Source organism: Homo sapiens, chromosome 4, assembly GCF_000001405.40.
Source record: "Homo sapiens chromosome 4, GRCh38.p14 Primary Assembly".
Classification (NCBI taxonomy): domain Eukaryota; kingdom Metazoa; phylum Chordata; class Mammalia; order Primates; family Hominidae; genus Homo; species Homo sapiens.
In genome coordinates, this window is record NC_000004.12 from 52,872,569 (window position 1) to 52,890,604 (window position 18,036).

The window sequence follows — 18,036 nt, forward strand, 5'->3', positions numbered from 1 at the left end:
GTGCTCAGTCATCAATCTTTAGGAATGAATGAAGGAGTACAGATTTGAGTCACGTAACAGGTTACTTTCCAATTTTTTATTTTAGAAAAGTCGTCTCCTCTTTAACATTTCTTACGGATGGCTACCATTAACTTCCTTATTCAAATTCAACACTTTAAGATTAGTAGAATGAAAAAGGCACCTGCGGTCTCCTCTATTTCATGAAAGAACTGATATTATGTGGAAAACATACCTGGGCAAGAAAAGAGTGTCTGTGTCCACAAAAATCCTGCTTTGATTACATCTTAAAATAATCTCCAACTTCATGGTTCTTTCAAAAATGACAGTGTTTTATAGAGAACTAAAATCAGAGACATGTGAGTGTTTTGGTTTACATGTTATTTCCTCCACCTGTGTAATCCACAATAAAAACCTTTTCAGTTTTATCTCTTTATTACCAACATGGATGCCAGAAACTTCCATCGACCATACACCTACAAACATGTGGGTTGCAAGTGGTTCGTTTTTGCCCTGGAGTTCTTACAAAGTTTCACTAGGTGGGTCTAGGTTTTTCTGCTATGGTCAGATGGAAAACTTAAACTTACAGAAAAGAAAGCTTTATATTTCAATCAAAACTCATACCCACAAAGTCCACAGGGGTTGCTGTTACAATTTAGACTCCCTGGGACCAGGTATCTTGTACTGGAGTCTTTCTTTGGAGGGGAGAAAACCTTTTATATACAGATAACCCTCCAATCAACCACCTTCCCACTACAGTTCCAAGTAGCCTGGCAGACCTGCCCAGTGGGCCAGCTAGAACAATGCAGTCCTTTGTTATGGCAGGATGATTTACAACACATGCAGGCTACCAGCACTGCCCCAGACACTACCCCTCCCTTCCTTGCCTTTTCAGAAATGTTTCAGAGCAAGAGAGAAACAAAGCCTCAGACCCTATTTGCAATGTTCCCTCCTCAGTTATATAATCCTAAGGAACATCAAATTTTCCCCACACTCATAATTCTAAAGCATGTCTAACTTCTCGAGCAACTTCAAATAAAAAGAGTTGTAATCTACCAACACTTGCCAACAGGCTTTTATTTAGAACTAATGAACTTGTAGGTGGAATCAGGAAGATCACAAACAGAGGGTTAAGGATAAATGGAAACGATCACTAATTGGACTCGCCAAAAGACAGACTGTCGCCTTCAGGAAAATAAAAAAACTTTTTTTTTTTTTTTTTAAGAATCACAGCAATCCAAGCAAAGTACCTCACTGAGTAGGTATCAAGACCCTTCAGGCAGAATTCCATCATTCTCGCAATTAGTGACAGGGACGCTGGTTGTGGAGGAGTATTTGGAGTGGTGGCAGAAAATTGCATCGGCATTTCCAGCTTGAGTAGGTCTTATCTTCTTAGCGGATGCTCAGAAGCCAAGGTCTGGATGCAGTCGGTCAGTTGCAAATAACAGCTCAGGAATGTTAAGTGGCTTCAGGAGTCGTGTGGACAGCACGATTACCTAACAACAGGAGAGGGCAAACACACCGCAGGGAATTAGGGGGGCCAATCTCAGGGTATTGGATGATGAGAAATAGAATGCAACAAATGTCTTTGGGGGAGGGCATGAAGTGAAGTTCTAGGAAGGAAAAGTAGAAGGCAGCCAGCTGAATGGCACCTGGCGCTAGTGCCCTGCCTGGAAGGAGGGGGGCACAGTCTGGGACAGATGGCCTGTGGGACAGCCGGGCTGTGTCTACTGAACCTTTAGCCAATGGGGCACTCAGGATGGCTGAGACTGGCACTAGGTACATTTGACAGGCAGAGCCCAGCCACTACCTTGCTGCTAAATTGAACTGGATCATATTCTTGCTTTGTAATGCAGTAATTTGACGTCAATATCAAGGTTTCTCCCCATTTCAGGGAGCCTTTGCTCCTCCAGGGAGCATGAGAAGGCACATCCAGGAGGTGGATGTTGTTAGTGATGATGGTGATTGTTAGTTTCCTAGTACCACAAACTGGGTGGCTTAAACAATGGAAACTTACTGTCTCATAGTTCTGGAGCCTAGAAGTCCAAGATCAAGGTGTTGGCAGGGTTGGCACCTTCTAAGGGCTGCGAGGGAATCTGTTCCATGCCTTTCTCCTAGCTACCTTGTGCCTTCACATTGTCTCTCCCTATGCATGTCTGTTGCTGTGTCCAAATTTCCCCTTCTTATATACATACAGTCACACTGGATTAGAGCCCACACTAAAGACCCTATTTTAACTTGATCATCTGCAAAGATCCTATTTCCAGTAAGGTCATATTCACAGATACCAGTGGGGAGGTTAGGACTGCAAGACATTTTAAAGGGGACACATTTCAACTCATAACGATGATGGGAATGATAGTGATAACTAATACTTGTTAATTTCTATGATGTGCCAGGTTCTGAGGATTATCTCATTGAATATCCATTTGATCCTGATATTGAGCTTATGAAATAGATACGTTTATTTTTCCTGCTTTGTAGATGAAGAAAATAAAGTACAGAAAGGCTCAGCAACTTGTACAAGGACACACATACAGTCAGCGGCTGAGTCAGGATCCCAGCGCAGACAGGCTGGCCCCAGTGCCCCCGTGCCTCCCTTCCCTGTCATCAAGGGCTCTGGGCCCTTTACTCCCTTACTCCACATGCACCTTTGGGCTCCTCTGGCTTCTTTCATGGTGACCCTTTCTGCTTCCCTCAGTCTGGATTTTATTCCAGGACAGATTTATCTCTGCAAAGGTGGGAGAGCCTATTCCCTGGGTCTGGGCTGGGGGCGTGATGTGCTTTGCAAGGGCCTGGTTAGGTTTTGCACAAGCAGTATTGTATGCACCCTAGAAGAAGAGGTGACTATGGGAAAAGCTGTCCTAGAGCCTGAATTCCACAGCCCACATCCCTTGGAAGGGGATTCCAAGGCCCACAGCATGACTACATGGCTACGCTCCTTTGGAGTGGTGCAAGTGGGCCCACACACTTTACTATCCTCCTTGCCCACTCCCAAAATTGTCCCAGGTATAATTAAATTAGTGAATTAACCAACCCCAAGTCCACGAGCTCATTGATGGAAAACAAAAAGTCTATACTCCAATGAAGAGAAAAAGTAGAAGAGGAAGAGAGAAGGAAGTATTTCTTGTTGTTAAAGAAAGAATTTTTCAACAACCTTATGAGAAAGTTTTCTGTTTAAAAAACTTAGTCTTTGGAAGCATCTATGTTACTTCTTGAAAGAGGATTATCTTTAACTATATATATATATATATATATATATATATATATATATATATATATATATATATAGTTAATGTCAGCCAAGTCATATTTTTGGCAGAAACAAATTCACTGAAATCTGTGTTTCACGATTTTCCTTGAAAATCATGCAAGGAGCCTTTGAGGACAGTGGGTGAAGATTGGCCTTCTCTATCATCTGCATGCATGATTTAGACACCGTTTGAATGTGTGTCTCCCGAGAGGGTCTCTACGTCTTTCAGGTCTTCCTCACCAAACCTAGTAGGTAATTGAGCCTGGCGGCTTCCAGGCGAGTGCCATCAGCAGACCCTGAGGAGATCCCAGCTCCACACTGACTGGCCAGATGCCTCCAGAAAGTCACAACTTACAGCCTTGCTCACCTCATCTCTCTCAGAAGGAAAATAACAGTGCCAAGCTTGAGGCAGTATGGCAAGGATTACATAAGATCGTGTATGTGGAGCACAGGAAGTGCTCAGCAACTGTGAGCTGCTGTATTATTGTGGTTTTGTGATTTGGTCCTAGATCTCCTTTTGAATCTTATGAAAGCTAAGAACTTTCTAGAAAAATACACAGACATTCATACAAGATTTTGTGTTATAGTTTTAGGGATGGTTCATGAACTCCTAGGAATTCACAGACCACAATTAAGAAGCCCTTTTTCGAACTGGGTGCGGTGGCTCACTCCTGTAATCCCAGCACTTTGGGAGGCCGATTTGGGTGGATCACCTGAGGTCAGGAGTTCAAGATGAGCCTGGGCAACATGGTGAAACCCCATCTCTACTAAAAATACAAAAATTAGGTGCGCGTGGCGGTGCATGCCTGCAGTCCCAGCTACTTGGGAGGCTGAGGCAGGAGAATAGCTTGAACCCTGGAGGTGGAAGTTGCAGTGAGCCAAGATTGTGCCACTGCTCTCCAGCCTGGGTAACAGAGCGAAACTCTGTCTCTGTCTCGAAAAAAAAAAAAAAAAAAAAAAAAAGAAGCCCTTCTTCAGAAATCTTTTTAAATGTACACCTAAAGACAAACACTGGGCTCCTTGGAAGTAGGTTCTTCGGAGGTGGTAGAGGCCAGCAGTCGTTCATGCAAAGGGCCCTCTCCTCCTGCTGTGACTTGGTGGTCTCCAGCACACTGCTAGCCCTTGGGGTCTTTAATTCTAAAGCAAAGACGGTGGATTCCTCTCTGGCTGGGGTGAGGGTGGGCCTGAGGGCTAGGGTACGTCTCCATCCCCATGGGTGCTAAGTCTTCTCAGCAGGTTTGAGGAACTTGGAGTGAAAAGGCTAAAAGTGTTGACTTCCAGAGCAGCAATAACTGAGCCCAAAGAATCTGTCACTCTCGGGTAGTGTGCTGGGCTTCCAGCCATGGTTGACAGAGACCATGGATTTGGCTACCGCCACTGAGCTGGAACAGTAAGGCCAGCCCTCACATCTGAACAAGCAGGTGTTTAACAGTAATCAGCCTACAGCTTCATGAGGGCTCAGCCAGAGGCTGTCTGGGGCCTGCTCTGTGGAGGGGTGAAAAGAAACAGATGGAAAACAGGGGCTTCTCAAGCAGTAGGTTAGGGGGCCTTTGTGGAGGGGAGACTGCAGGACTGAGGACAGGAGGCTTTGGGATAGTACAGTGGTTAAGAGCACAGGTTTAGGAGGGTCCAGTCTGCGCTGGACCCTGGCTGGGCCACTTGCTAGATGAATGACCCTGGAGAAGTTGCTTAACCACACTGAGCCTCAATTTCTTCATCTGTAAAGTGGGAATGATACCCACCCCACATGATTATGTGAGGATCAATGTGAACATCTTCGTAAAATATCTGACACAATGACAGGCTCTAGAGGGGCTTAGAATGGCAGCTGCCATGACTGCCTTTGTCACCGTCACTGTCCTCATTATGTGCATCCCCGGCTGCATCCTTCCACCCAGCTCACAGTAGTTATGGGGCGGATGCAGGGAAGGTGGAGTTGCCAGAGCCAGTGACCCCAAGTGTGAATCTGATCGCATTACTCACAGGCTTAAAATCCCTGCAGCTTCATCACTGCCCTCTGGTAAGCCCAGCCCTCCCGGAGAGCATCACAGGACTTCAGAACCTGAATGCTGCCAGCACTCCACATCCGGCCCTTGCCTCCACACCCCCAAATCAGTCCCACATTCCAGCCTCCCTAACTCCTCGCAATTTCACACCTGGCACTTTGGGGATGCTTCTTTGTCTGGGAGAGGAGCTCCCCACTCTGCCCAAAGACCCCTCCTCCATTGCCCTTCAACAATCAGCTCAGGCATCACTCCCCACAGAAAGCCTTCCCAGACCACCCCTCCCGCAAGCCTGAGTGTGTCCCCCTGGCTGTTGGTATCTCACGGTATTCCCTGTCAACTTAACTGAGTCTTTTCATTGTTTCTTAGCACAGTGCCTGACACATAGCAGGTCTTTGATTGAGTCAGTTAGTGCCTGATTGAGTGAACAAAAACCATACAGCAGTGAAGGAGGCAGGGAGTGTAGCCACGGTCACTGGGAAGTTTTCACTCAGGGCAGCTCTAGTAGAAGATGCTCAGACAGCTCCAGGTAAATGTGTTTCCTCTCCATTCGATGAAAAACCTACTTGTCTCTAATTCCTATTTTGAAGAGCAAGCAGGATCATACTGCTGACATTTCACATAGAGCATGAAATATAATAGTTGGTGCTCTTTAAGTATGTTTGCATCTTAGGCATCTTTTGGTATTGGCTACTTTTTTGAATTTTCAGAATTTTTAAAGCACATTTTACTAGAACATTTCTACATTATTTGGCTAAGATCACCCTAAAATTCTAAAAAGTGGGCCCTAAACAGGAACAAAGATGCTCAAAAATGAAAAAGAAAATAGAAGAGTTTGAAATTGGCTGATCAGATATGACATTTAATTTTTAAAAAACATAATCATCAAACATGTGATAGTGGACAAATTAAGCACTAGAGAATTCCTTTCAGAGAACTGGTCTTTTCTCAGGCAACCAAGGGCACTGAAGAAAATTCCCATGGGTGATGCTCAATGCTTGCCCATCATACGTCTACTTTTCTCTGCATTTTCTAAAATGCTTCTTTTGATTCTCAGTATTAGAAATCAGAGGTACATAGAACCTAAACCTGGTCTTCCCTGCTTCCTCTCCCTTTCCCCTTTTCAGGGTCCCTGCCATCTCTTCTTCTCCTCCGTCTCCTTCCCCTCCCTCTCTTTCCTCCTGTTCCTTTTTGGGGGTTGTTTTTGTTCTTCCTTCTCAACACAGGCCTGAGTGTCATTCAGGGCTAAAGAGTCAGCTGACTTTACTCCGACCCATCAACTCCTAGCCACCCCACTTTCACCTGCTAATAGCCAAGAGGGCTGGTGGCAGTGGTCAGCCTCCTTCTCAAGCCAGAGGCATCCAGGACACTCAAGAGCACCCCGCAGTGCTCAGAGCTTGGCCCAGCCACCATACCTGCCCTGCACCATCTACCCACCAGAATACCTTCCACAAAAACAGCCAGTGGGGAGAGAATCTTTGCTGATTAAAAATAAATTTCACACTTAAATATGAGAAATGGGGTTTTTAATGAAAACAAAAAATTGTTTTTGAAGAGCCTGAACGACACTGCAACTGCAGGGCAGTTATGACTTAGGTGTCACATGTGTTGCCAACTGCAGGCAGTTCTATCAAGGAATGTTTGAAGATGCAGCTCATTCACCAACAGCAAGCCTCTGTGTCAAAGCAGATAACTTGACATCAAAAAAATATATCGACTGACTGTGAGATGGGGTGGAGGACATCAGCCAGGGAACCAAGTCCCTCCAGCAGCCTTCAGCCCACACTTGATATCTACTCCAGCTGGAAGGGGGATGTTCGGTCTTTGTTCTCAGGCCTGCCCTGAACTCCACATGGGCAGCCCAGCCCTTAGGAGTGACCCAGCCCTCTGGGCTTTCCGTTGCTCCAGACCATGGCTGTAATTTGTAGGTGCCAGCATCTTCCTGTTCTATTTCTGCTGAACACAGAGGAAGCAGGGAAGTCCAGGATTTACATTCCATATCCCCCTGATTTCTAACACTCAGTATCAAAAGGAGCAAGGGGTACATTTTTCTCTCTCCTTTTCTTTTACATTTGGGAGATTCTTCCCCAAAGTGACCCACATATGCACAGGCACCAACATGCATATTCATTCGATAGGCAGCTTTTGGAGCATATATTGTATTCATGCTGTATAGGCACACGCACACATACACACACACCTGTGTTAAACCCAGAAGGTTTGTATCATTAAGCCAGTGGCACAGTGGATTAGCCTTACTGAAAAACCTGGAAACATCTGACCTGACTACCGCTGCCTCAGAGCCACTGTGCTGTGCTTATAAGGCTCTCAGAAGATCTGAAGTGTGATTCAGATCTTTTCGCTGTTGTCTCCCTGGGGCTTCCCATCAATTTTAGAATAACCTGGAGGCAGGTTTTGGAGCCAGGATGAGGGATCCTTGAACCTCTTAAGTTGTGTGCAAAACTATTTTTTTTTTTTTTAATTATTGTGTCTTCACTAAATATTCAACTCTGGGTTGGGCATGGTGGCTCACTCCTGTAATCCCAGCACTTTGGGAGGGCAAGGCGGGTGGATCACTTGAGGTAGGAGTTCAAGACCAGCCTGGCCAACACTGTAAAACCCCGTCTCTACTAAAAATACAAAAAATTAACCAGGAGTGGTGGTGGGCGCCTGTAATCCTAGCTACTCGGGAGGCTGAGGAAGGAGAATCACTTGAACGTGGGAGGTGGAGGTTGCTATGAGCTGAGATCATGCCACTGCCCTCCGGCCTGGGTGACAGAGTGAGACCCTGTCTCAAAAAAAAAAAAAAAGAAAAAGAAAAAAAGAAAAAAAAGTATTGAACTCTGTAAATGTAGAACTACAGGAAAGTGTGGGTGCGGCAAGCACGTGCCTTGCTACGAAAGCAGTGGATGGGGGTCAACTTTCCCACTGGCCTTCCCCTTTTTCCTGAGCTGGCCGTTCCCTGTATTTCCTCAGAGATTCCCTCCCTGTTATTTTCTTCTTACAATCACAGGCTTCTGCTAGCCTCTCGGCTACCATCCAGCTGCAAAGTTCAGCCAGGCAGAGCTGTCTGGCCATGGAGTCCCACAGTAGGCATCAAGTGAGTGAGGAGAGAGGCTGGTGTTGGGCACATGCGGATCAGAGCAGGAGAAACCTGGAATCTCCCACTTGGTGTTTGTGGCAGTTTGGGATGGGGGAGGTTGCCCTCTTGATCCCTTTTCTGTAGATAGGAAAAAGGACCTTCTCCAATGCACCCATTTTCTCTCATCAGCACATCTCCCAACAGCCACAGGCAGGAGAGTGGAGAAAACATGTCCCTTTTAGAGCAGAGCAGTCTTCAGAGGCTAGCAGGTGGGCATGTGGTTTCTGGTTTCCTATGTTTCATGCTATTCTTGCCACTTTTTGTGAAAGACAGTTCATTTCTGGAGGTGCTGTGAATGGATTCTATTCATTTCCTTTGAACAGCTGATCCCCGAATGCTTTTTAAATCTCAGCTCCAAAGCCTTCTCCATGGGAGTCTGTGCTATCTAAAGGAAGCTCTTCCTCCTGGTTTTTCTACACTAGCACCCATCTATGTCTGTTGTCCACTTGTCATGAGGTGGTGCTTCCATGTTTATTGTCAGTTACTACCCAGTAGAATGGAAGTTCCATAAAAGTAGGAATGTCTCTAGCTTGGTCACTGTTCTGTCCTTAGCATAAAAGACAATGCCTGGCACAGAGCAGATCATGTTTTTGCTTTTTAGATAGTCAATAAATGCCTGCTGAATCATTAGTTAATCCAGCTTAATAGGAATGATTGCAAGTTCCTGTACGTGGTTCCAAAGAGCACCCACACAGCAGTAGAACAGGGAAGATTTGGAATAATAGCAATAGATACAAAAGACAAAGTGGTTTTAATTGTCTATAATGTGTCAGTCAATAGGTTGGTGTGGTTTTTGTGGTCTTTTCCAGAAAAGCTGCTTTTCTGTTATGTTGGAATGGTACACGTAGAGTCTCTAATGTTCAGTATTGGACATTCAATTAACATTCATGAATATCCACTAAGTGGCAGACTCTGTTTGTGGTGCTGAGAATACAATAGTTGAGAAATGCAAAGTCCTGAGGCTGGAGGGGCATATGCAAGGAGAAGAGTGGTAGGAAAAGAAGCCCCAGACGTAGGCAGGGGTGAGATCATGTGAGCTTTGTAGGCCATGGTAGAGAGGAGGAGGAGGTGACCCTAATTTTCTCTGAGCTGATCAGTCCACACCAAGGTTTGGCTTTTGGTTCCAATCAAGTGCGAGACAGGGAGAAAAACTGGGGTTGAGGAGAGCTGCAACATCGTCAGGGGATTCAGGTCCATTTCACAGGGTAAGAGTGGGGTGGCTACAGGAACTGATGATATTCAGTTTGGAGAAGAGAAGACCTGGGGGAGGACATGGGAGCTATCTTCATATGTCTGCAGAATTGTCGTGGGGAAGAGGGATGAATCTCATTTTCTTTTAAATTCTATGTGGCACAAGAGCTAGAACCAGCACTGGTGAGTGACAATGCCAAAGAGGCAGATTTGGGCTTCATCTAGAGGAGATATTAGAACCAAGAATGAAGCCCTCCATGACGGTTAATTGAGTGTCAACTTGATTAGATTGAAGGATGCAAAGTATTGTTCCTGGGTATGTCTGTGAAGGTGTTGCCAAAGGAGATTAACATTTGAGTCAGTGGACTGGGAAAGGCAGACCCACCCTCAATCTGGGTGGGCATAATCTAATCAGCTGCCAGGACAGCCAGAATAAACGCAGGCAGAAGAACGTGGAAAGACTAGACTGGCTTAGTCTCCCAGCCTACATCTTTCTCATATGCTGGATGCTTCCTGCCCTTGAACATTGAACTGCAAGTTCTTCAGCTTTTGGACTCAGACTGGCTTCCTTGCTCCTTAGCTTGCAGACGGCCTATTGTGAGACCTCACCTTGTGACTGTGTCAGTCAATAGTCCTTAATAAACTCCCCTTTATATCTACATTTATCCTATTAGTTTTGTCCCTCTAGAGAACCCTGACTAATACACCCTCCAAGCCTCAAATAGGCTGCAGTGGGAGGGGACAAATCCTCATCCTGGGAGATGGTCAAGTAAAGGCTGGATAGTAAAGCCAGAATGGAAGCACTAGCTATGTCTATTATTGCTGTTTACACCAATGATCAAGTGAGGGTTACTCCCTTGCTTGCCCAAAGGTCTTAGACAGTCTATTGGGTATAGATTCCATAGAACCTATCCCCTTCAATTAGGTCACATGTGTTCTCGAACAGAAGTCTGAGTCTGAGCAGACAATGGAACTAGCACGCATCCCACTTCGTGTGTTGCTAGGGCAGCAAGGCATGATTTCCGCTGCACTCTAAAAAGCAGGAAGCTGGTCATGTCTCAGATCGGCAGAGTTTGCTGTAGGGCCAGGGCAGCTGTGTGTCTGTCAAGGTCTAAGAAAGGGAGACCCGCCACAGCATGTGTCACTCTGCAAACATCCAGGTAATTCACCTCCTTTCAAAAATGTGGAGATGAAGGACTTCATGATAAAGAATGCCTTTTCTGTTTCCCCTGCTGCCTGAGGAATCTTCCTAGGGCCTGCTAACTCTTCAGGGGAGCTTTTTGCACAAAGGGCAAGTAGCAGTCAAGGCTGATCCTTAAGCTCAAAATTCTTTGAGAAGCTCTCTCTGCAGATGACTGAGCACAGGGTCAGATTGCAGCAAAGTCACTGTAGATTCCGGGGCTCTGTTGTCAAACTCAGGTCACAGGACTTTGAAAACGTCTGCATTTTATCCTTTTAGAGTAGGGATTAACATGTCTGTCAGGCTATTACAATGCATCACTGTTCTGAAGAGCTAAGAATTTGGTTCACCACGTTAGGGGCAGCAAGAAGTGTGGTTTCTGATGAAAAAAGAAAAGAGGTCTTGCTCAAAAAGGCAATCATTCATTAAACAGAACCTTATCACTGCTGGCAGGGAGGGTGTTAAATGAAACAGAATTTACAAATTTATCAGAAATCTCATCAGCTATGACCATAACAGGTGATAGTAACAGAAGAATGGTCATAGTCAAAAACTGGCCACTCCCCTGCTCAAGAGTCTGCTGTAGCTCTCTAGGTACCCAGGTCCCATTCCTCCGTTGGGTGTCTGGAGACCAGCAGGGACCAGACCTTCTTGGCTTAACCTGGTAGCTCAGCCACTCCAACAACACAGACTGTTCCTACCAGGCCAGTTCTCTTGGAGTCAATAAACCCCTCAAACTACAAGGGTTACTGAGCCACTGCCATGTGCTCCAGCCTGGAAAGCCCCAGCCTTTGTCCTCAAGGAATTTGTATTTGATTGAGGAGACTAGGCCAGCAAATATGAAGTAGTCAGGGAGAAGTCCAGAGCTGCATTGCCCAGTATAGATGGGGATGTGGGTAGATATGTGGAAAGAGCCTGGAGCAACAGGGAGGATGTCACAAAAGGGAAGGATGCAGCTCCTGGAGCTGGCTGTGTGGATATGTACAGTAGTGGGTGGAGGTAGGAGGTGGCACAAAGCTGTAACCCCAGAGCACTGGGAAGATAACACCCCCAGAGTCAAGTCTCAACCTGGGAGGATGAGAGTGGAAGGGAAGACATCCCCAGGCTCTCTGACCTCTGGCATGACAATTCTGAGTCATGTAACACCACCTCCTCAGGGGCCACCAGTGGACCGCGCCCAGAGCATACCCAGCTTGGCAGTGTGTCGTTTTGTGGCTTTTCTTCTTCACTGTCTTTTTTTTTCTGAGTTCTTCACTTCACTTCTGCTTCTTGGGATCATCTGCCAAGTAAACTACCTGCTCTCTCATCCCTGGCTCAGGGGCTGTTTTGGGGAACACACTAAGGCAAGGGTTTTACATCTTACTGATTTAACAGGCTGTGCATCCCCAGTCACAGGAGAACTTCCAGAAGCAGGGGTTCTCCTCTTCCAGAAGCCTCTCTCCTTGGGCTCCTGCTGCATCATGCTGTGAGCCTCAAACCCTCCAGCACAGCAGTGTGGTGACTGCTCAAAAACGGCCGGGAATAACTGCAGCCATCATTGACTGAGCGTTCTGAGCCAGGCACAGTGCTAAGAAGCATATTCTCAAGCCTCTTCTGATTTAAGATTCACAGCCACCCTGGCACATTTCCTAAATGAGGAAACTGAGGGCTTTTCCCTCCCAGATCACCTGATTAGTCAAAGGCAGAGGCAGGATTGGAACTTGGGCCCATAAAATAGAAACGTCTATGTTCTTCACCACTGGGCCACAGAGCCAGTTTTCTTGTTTAGGGGATGGGATGGGGCCTGACAGGAGGTATAGAGAAGAAAGCTACAACACTAGTCATTGTCTGGACAGTGATCCTTCCCACACTCCTCTGGCCCCGCCCTCTAATTGCCACAGTTGGGAGGTGGTTCCTGGAGTTATCCCTCCATATCTGGAGCCTAGAAAGCAGTGAAAACTCCTGAGTGATTCAACACTGATTGGACACCAGAGAATATAGGCCCCTAAGGAATCAAGAATAGGGATAACAGTACCTTAGCCCCAGAAGCCCAGAGCTAGAAAAGAAGAGCTCTCCTCCCTCCCTTCACCCCACCGGACTCCACCCTGCCCCAGATTATTTTGCAAAGAACAGAGTTTCCATTTAAGGCTCATTGGCTTGGTGTCATAGCATTTAACCTGTCATGATAGACTTTATCAAAATGACCCAGTCCTCCACCACTGAGAACAAAGGAACTCCAGGGCATGTCGGGCTGGTTCTGGCTGCAGGAAGACATTGTGAAACAGGCGGTAGCAGGAGGGAGGGAACAAAGCCAAGAGGGTGATGGGCAGGCAGGCTAGGAGAGGGGCACTGGGACCCATAGGTGGAGGGCCCTCACCCACCCTTCACACCCCTACTTCTGAGCTCTTGTTCAAAGCATGGAGGACTCAGTACCTGGGTTCCTGGCTTCAACGATGCCACAAGATCTTTGACCATTTTCACTTCAGAGACTGTGACCCCACCTACCACAAAGAGGATCAGGAGGGGGTAGTCACTAGGATGAGGCCGGCTCACCTGCAAAACAAAACACCAGCAATATCAGATGGATGGCAGTGATGCAGGCACAATGCAGCTGGGTACCATCTTCATTGTCCCTCTGTAGAAACCTCAGGACTACTACTGATAGTGGCAGGAGGCAGACAAATCCTAGGCAGACAGGGGTGGGTCCCTGGTGAAACCTGATGACAGTTTAAAACCTAGCTACAAGTCCCGGGTAAATCCATGGACCGGATTGAGAACTTGTCTTCCCATTTGGTGTGTTTTCCTCTGATTGATCCCTACCCTTCACCTATTTTACATATACCTACCCTTCCCTAATTGTTTGTTTACACTGTCATGTCCATCTTTGAGCGGTGACTTTGTTTTAGCCTTTTTTTTGCTTACTTGCAAACCAATCAGCATGCACTCCCCATTCTGAGCCCATAAAAGCCCTGGACTCAGTCACACACAGAGAAAAACCACCTGACTTCGGTTGGGGGACCACCCTTGCATCCCCTCTCTGCTGAGAGCTGTTCTGTTGTTCAATAAAATTCTTCTCCACGCTCCTCACTTTTCAATTGTCAGTGTGACCTCTTTCTTCTTGGGCATGGGACAAGAACTCAGGAACCACCAAATGTGGGTATGAGCTATAACATGGGTGAGCTGGGGCATGCCTGCCTAGCCACAGGCTAAGCCAGTGCACAAGCCAGGTATGGCCCAGTGGGCCGAGTAGGTGGGGCATCTCCTGTGGCAGGCCCAGGGCCTAGCAAGGCCTGGGAGTGGGGCATTGCTGGCTGTGGAGGACCCTGGTTGGCAAAGTGGGTGAGAAAAATCCTGCATCACTACCTCCATTATGCAGGTGTGATAAACAGCCCTTAGAGAGATGATGACTTCTTAGCTACCAGATGTCCCAGTGGTCTGTGAACTCATTGACCAGGAAAATGTATAACACAGTACCTTATTATGTCTCTTTCAATAAAGATTTCATTGAAAGAAAAGTTAAAGGAGCAGGAGCTACTAAAAACAAGAGAAGGCTGAGGGACAACTTCTTTCTTCCTTGTTAATCTTCAGGTCTCAGCATAAATGTGCCCCCTTCTTTGTTGCATGGCTCTGTATATTTCCTTCAAAGCATCTACAGCAGCCTGTGGCTACTCTATTTGTTTGTTTATTTATTTGTTTACTTGTTGGCCATCTTCTCTACTGGAACATAAACTCCATGAGGCAAGAGCCTCATCCTCCTGGTTTATGCTATTCCCACCTTACCTAGTACAATTTCTTCTACATAATAGGTGCTCAATAAATGTTAGTGGAATTAATAAATAGTTAAAGCTTTAGGTAGGTGGACGCAGAGGGTATACAAAGATGAAAGAGAACAGGGCCCATCCTCAAGGTGCTTACAGTACAGTACCGACTTACAGCCCTTAACTTCTTCAAGCTAGCCTGAGCTGAGGGTCCATGTTGCATGGAACCTACACTAGATGCTGTGGAGAATTCCTCCTGATTCCTTATGATTTCATCAACGAGGCAAAAATATTCTTATATACTAAAATGAGAATAACTCAAAGTAACCACTCAGGAAATGCAAAACGACCAATAACTAGACTCAGTGATGGAGACACTGAGGGGACAAGAAGGGATTCCTGAAGACAGTATGTTTTGAGCTGAATCTGGAAGCCACAGTTGGTTTGATGGAGTGGGCAGGAGAAATAGTGTGAGTCAAGTTCCAGAGAAAATCAGTCACCAGAAGGGTGGAGCGGGACAGGGAGGCCCAGCCAGAATGGAGCATGCATGGAGTCCTTGCAGGAAAAAGTCTGCCAGCTGCCTGCGTGGCCACCAAAGCCAGAAGGTGGGCAACAGGCTTCACCTCCAGCAAGGAGAGAGGGAATGAAGGTAGTAAGTGTTCTTGCCCAACACAACGCATCTGTGGGTCACAGGCAGTCCCGAGGAGTGCCTGGGGGAGGAGCAGGTCAAGAGGAAGCCCTTTCTCTTACCATCCCCCAACTCCTTTCTCAGCTGAACTCTCTGGCTCCCTTGCCTGATTATACCCACGTCTCAACATCTTATTCTTTTTTTTTTTTTTTTTTTTTTTTTGAGACGGAGTCTCGCTCTGTCGCCCAGGCCGGACTGCGGACTGCAGTGGTGCGATCTCGGCTCACTGCAAGCTCCGCTTCCCGGGTTCACGCCATTCTCCTGCCTCAGCCTCCCGAGTAGCTGGGACTACAGGCGCCCGCCACCGCGCCCGGCTAATTTTTTGTATTTTTAGTAGAGACGGGGTTTCACCTTGTTAGCCAGGATGGTCTCGATCTCCTGACCTCATGATCCACCCGCCTCGGCCTCCCAATCAACATCTTATTCTAAAAGCACTTGAAAGGATGATGCATTAAGTATTCCAAGTTATGTAAGTTATTCCTTGGCTTCTGAAGAGGAAATTCAGAATGCAAAGGCAGGCAGGCAGGAGGAAAGGAAGGACAGAGAGAAGAGAGAGGACTGGGGGACTATCTAATGACCTCAAAATAGGTGGTGGTGAATACTGGAAAAAGTTTCAAAACACTCTCATCTTTAGAAAAAGACTCAAGTCCGCATCCTGCTCTGCACCTCTGTTTCCCCCGACCAATTTGTCAACTGCTTTCTTCCAATCTGCATACCAGACACCATAGCAATGCTGCTTTTGTCCTACTGTACCCTGGAATTGCTCTCATCGGAGTCACCAATGGCTATCATATTGTAGGAGTCAATGGACACTCCTTTGTCATCATCTAACCTGACATTTCTATGGCATGTCACAGCTGATGACACCCTTCTTAGGTACCATGACAGTACTTTCTCTAGGTAGTTCCTTCTACCCTTCTAATTATTTCTTCTCAGATTTCTTAATAGGTTCCCTTTCTTGGTCTGCCCATTTAAATGTTGTTACTTACAGCTCCATCCTTGGTTCCTTGCCCTTTGCACTCAATGCAACATCCCTGAAGGACCTCATCTTCTCATGTGCCTTCAATATCTTTTATGTACCTCTCAAACCTATGTCTTTTGCTCAGTCATCTCTATTGAGCTCCTGTGGACATCACCACCCAGCTCCTGCAGACGACACCTCCTGGGATTTCTGAACTCAACAGGTTTCAAATGTGATCCATGATCTTTTCCCCAAAACCCTTCCTTCTCTTGAATTTCTAACAGCATCACCACCTTCAAAGTCACCTGAGCCAGGCACATGAGAGACATCTTAGACTTTGCTGTCTCTTTCATCTCCCAGATGACGTTCTATTCATTCTACCTACTTAAGGTTATCAACATCTCCTTGATTACTTCCACATTAGATCGCTGCTATAGCCTTCAAGTTTGTCTCCCCATCCGCAGTTTGGCCATACCCCATCCATTCTCCTCATTTCTGCCAAGTATGTTTTCTAAAATACAAATATTTATTATTGAAAATAGCAAACATTGTACTAACTATTTTTGTGTATTATCTTATTTAATTCTCAAAATATCCTTAGAAAGCAAACACAATTATTAGTGTATTTTGCAAATGCAGAGATTGAGGTTCATGCACAGTAATGGATCCAGGAGCAAAACGCCAGAGGCCACACTCTTAAAACACCTCTCAGCTCCATCACACACTCAGATTATCTGCATAGAGTCTCATAGCTCTTAGGATAAAGTTCGAACTCTGTATTTCAGCATATAAGGCTTTTACAACTTGGCTCTGGTTTATGACTCTATTTTCATCTCCTCCACACACATTATTTGCTGGAACCATTCACAGTGGCTTGTGCCATACCTGAACACCTGGTGTTTATTTTTTGGAATATCTGTTAAACATATGATAATTTACTGAGTGTATGCATATCACCAGTGTGCTGCTCCATTAATTTTAAAGTAAACAAACCAGTGTAACCAGTACCCAGACCAAGAAACAGAAAACCAGCACCCTGAAGAGACCCTCTCATAACCTACTCCTGTCACTACCTCCCCACAGGCAATCATCATCTTGAACTCTAACACTCTACCTTATACTTACTCAACCATACACCTTGGGGATTTTCCATATCAGTAAGAAAAGCCTGTAACCTATGGACATGGTGTGGACCACACCAGTGGGTTTTGGCCTGTTTGTGCTTAGTACTTAGCACCTGGTAAGCTTTCAGTAAATGTTGCATGAATGAAATAGTCATATGAAGGAATGAATCATATCCACAGGTTAACAGGAAAGGCCCTTCTTTTCTTAGAAACTCTCCCTTTGCTTTATGCATAGTTCTTCTGGCTGAGTAAGTAACCCAGACCTTCCTTCCAGCCCTACAAACAATTGTTGTTTCTCAGTTAATCCTGGGACAGAAATAAATTGGCTCCAGAACTTGAACGTGGTGCAATATGTTCCCAAAGACATATGCTTTCTATAAGAGAGTCTGGAATCCAAAGTACATTGGGAGAATCTTGGAAGGATGTATTGACAGATGAAAAGGGAAAAAAAGAAACAAACTGCAACAACAAAGAACAATACCCTGGGGCTAAGGAGTGGGGGAATGTTGGTTTTGGTACAAATAAATGGGTCCAATTAATGCATGTTGGTGTTTGCTATTTTGGTTTCTGTTTAGATTCATGTTTTGATACCAGACTTTTCTTGTGGAGCCGTTCAAGTCAACAGACTGTTGGGAAGTGGAGTCTTTTCAGCCTTTTCCATCAGAATAACACATTCCTTATAATCAGCCATACATGACTGAGTCCTGTTTGCATGTTTGCATGTTAGTTCATGGTATAAGGCACTTTGAAGATGAAAGAC

At 45.8% G+C, this 18,036-nt stretch overlaps 1 protein-coding gene across 1 annotated transcript in view, besides 3 other annotated features; it reads right to left on the reverse strand.

Annotated features, from left to right (window-relative positions):
• Positions 1-413: 413 nt before the first annotated feature.
• The window catches only part of SCFD2 (sec1 family domain containing 2), a 493,080-nt gene continuing 475,457 nt past the window's right edge, over positions 414-18,036 (reverse strand). Inside the window, exons 8-9 of the mRNA NM_152540.4 lie at positions 13,179-13,298; positions 414-1,493 (exon numbers count right to left, since the gene is read on the reverse strand). Of these exons, the coding sequence (NP_689753.2) occupies positions 1,401-1,493; positions 13,179-13,298 (213 nt within the window). The 3' untranslated portion in view covers positions 414-1,400. The remainder of the gene's footprint in view (positions 1,494-13,178; positions 13,299-18,036) is intronic.
• Positions 535-1,036: an enhancer, noted in NCBI's record as "NANOG hESC enhancer chr4:53739270-53739771 (GRCh37/hg19 assembly coordinates)". NCBI's record gives its function as "activates a minimal SCP1, AML or CMV promoter by ChIP-STARR-seq in naive H9 embryonic stem cells {active_cell/tissue: H9 hESC(naive)}" and the evidence as "EXISTENCE:reporter gene assay evidence [ECO:0000049][PMID:30033119]".
• Positions 1,190-2,149: an enhancer, noted in NCBI's record as "OCT4-NANOG-H3K4me1 hESC enhancer chr4:53739925-53740884 (GRCh37/hg19 assembly coordinates)". NCBI's record gives its function as "activates a minimal SCP1, AML or CMV promoter by ChIP-STARR-seq in naive and primed H9 embryonic stem cells {active_cell/tissue: H9 hESC(naive and primed)}" and the evidence as "EXISTENCE:reporter gene assay evidence [ECO:0000049][PMID:30033119]".
• Positions 4,873-5,373: an enhancer, noted in NCBI's record as "H3K4me1 hESC enhancer chr4:53743608-53744108 (GRCh37/hg19 assembly coordinates)". NCBI's record gives its function as "activates a minimal SCP1, AML or CMV promoter by ChIP-STARR-seq in primed H9 embryonic stem cells {active_cell/tissue: H9 hESC(primed)}" and the evidence as "EXISTENCE:reporter gene assay evidence [ECO:0000049][PMID:30033119]".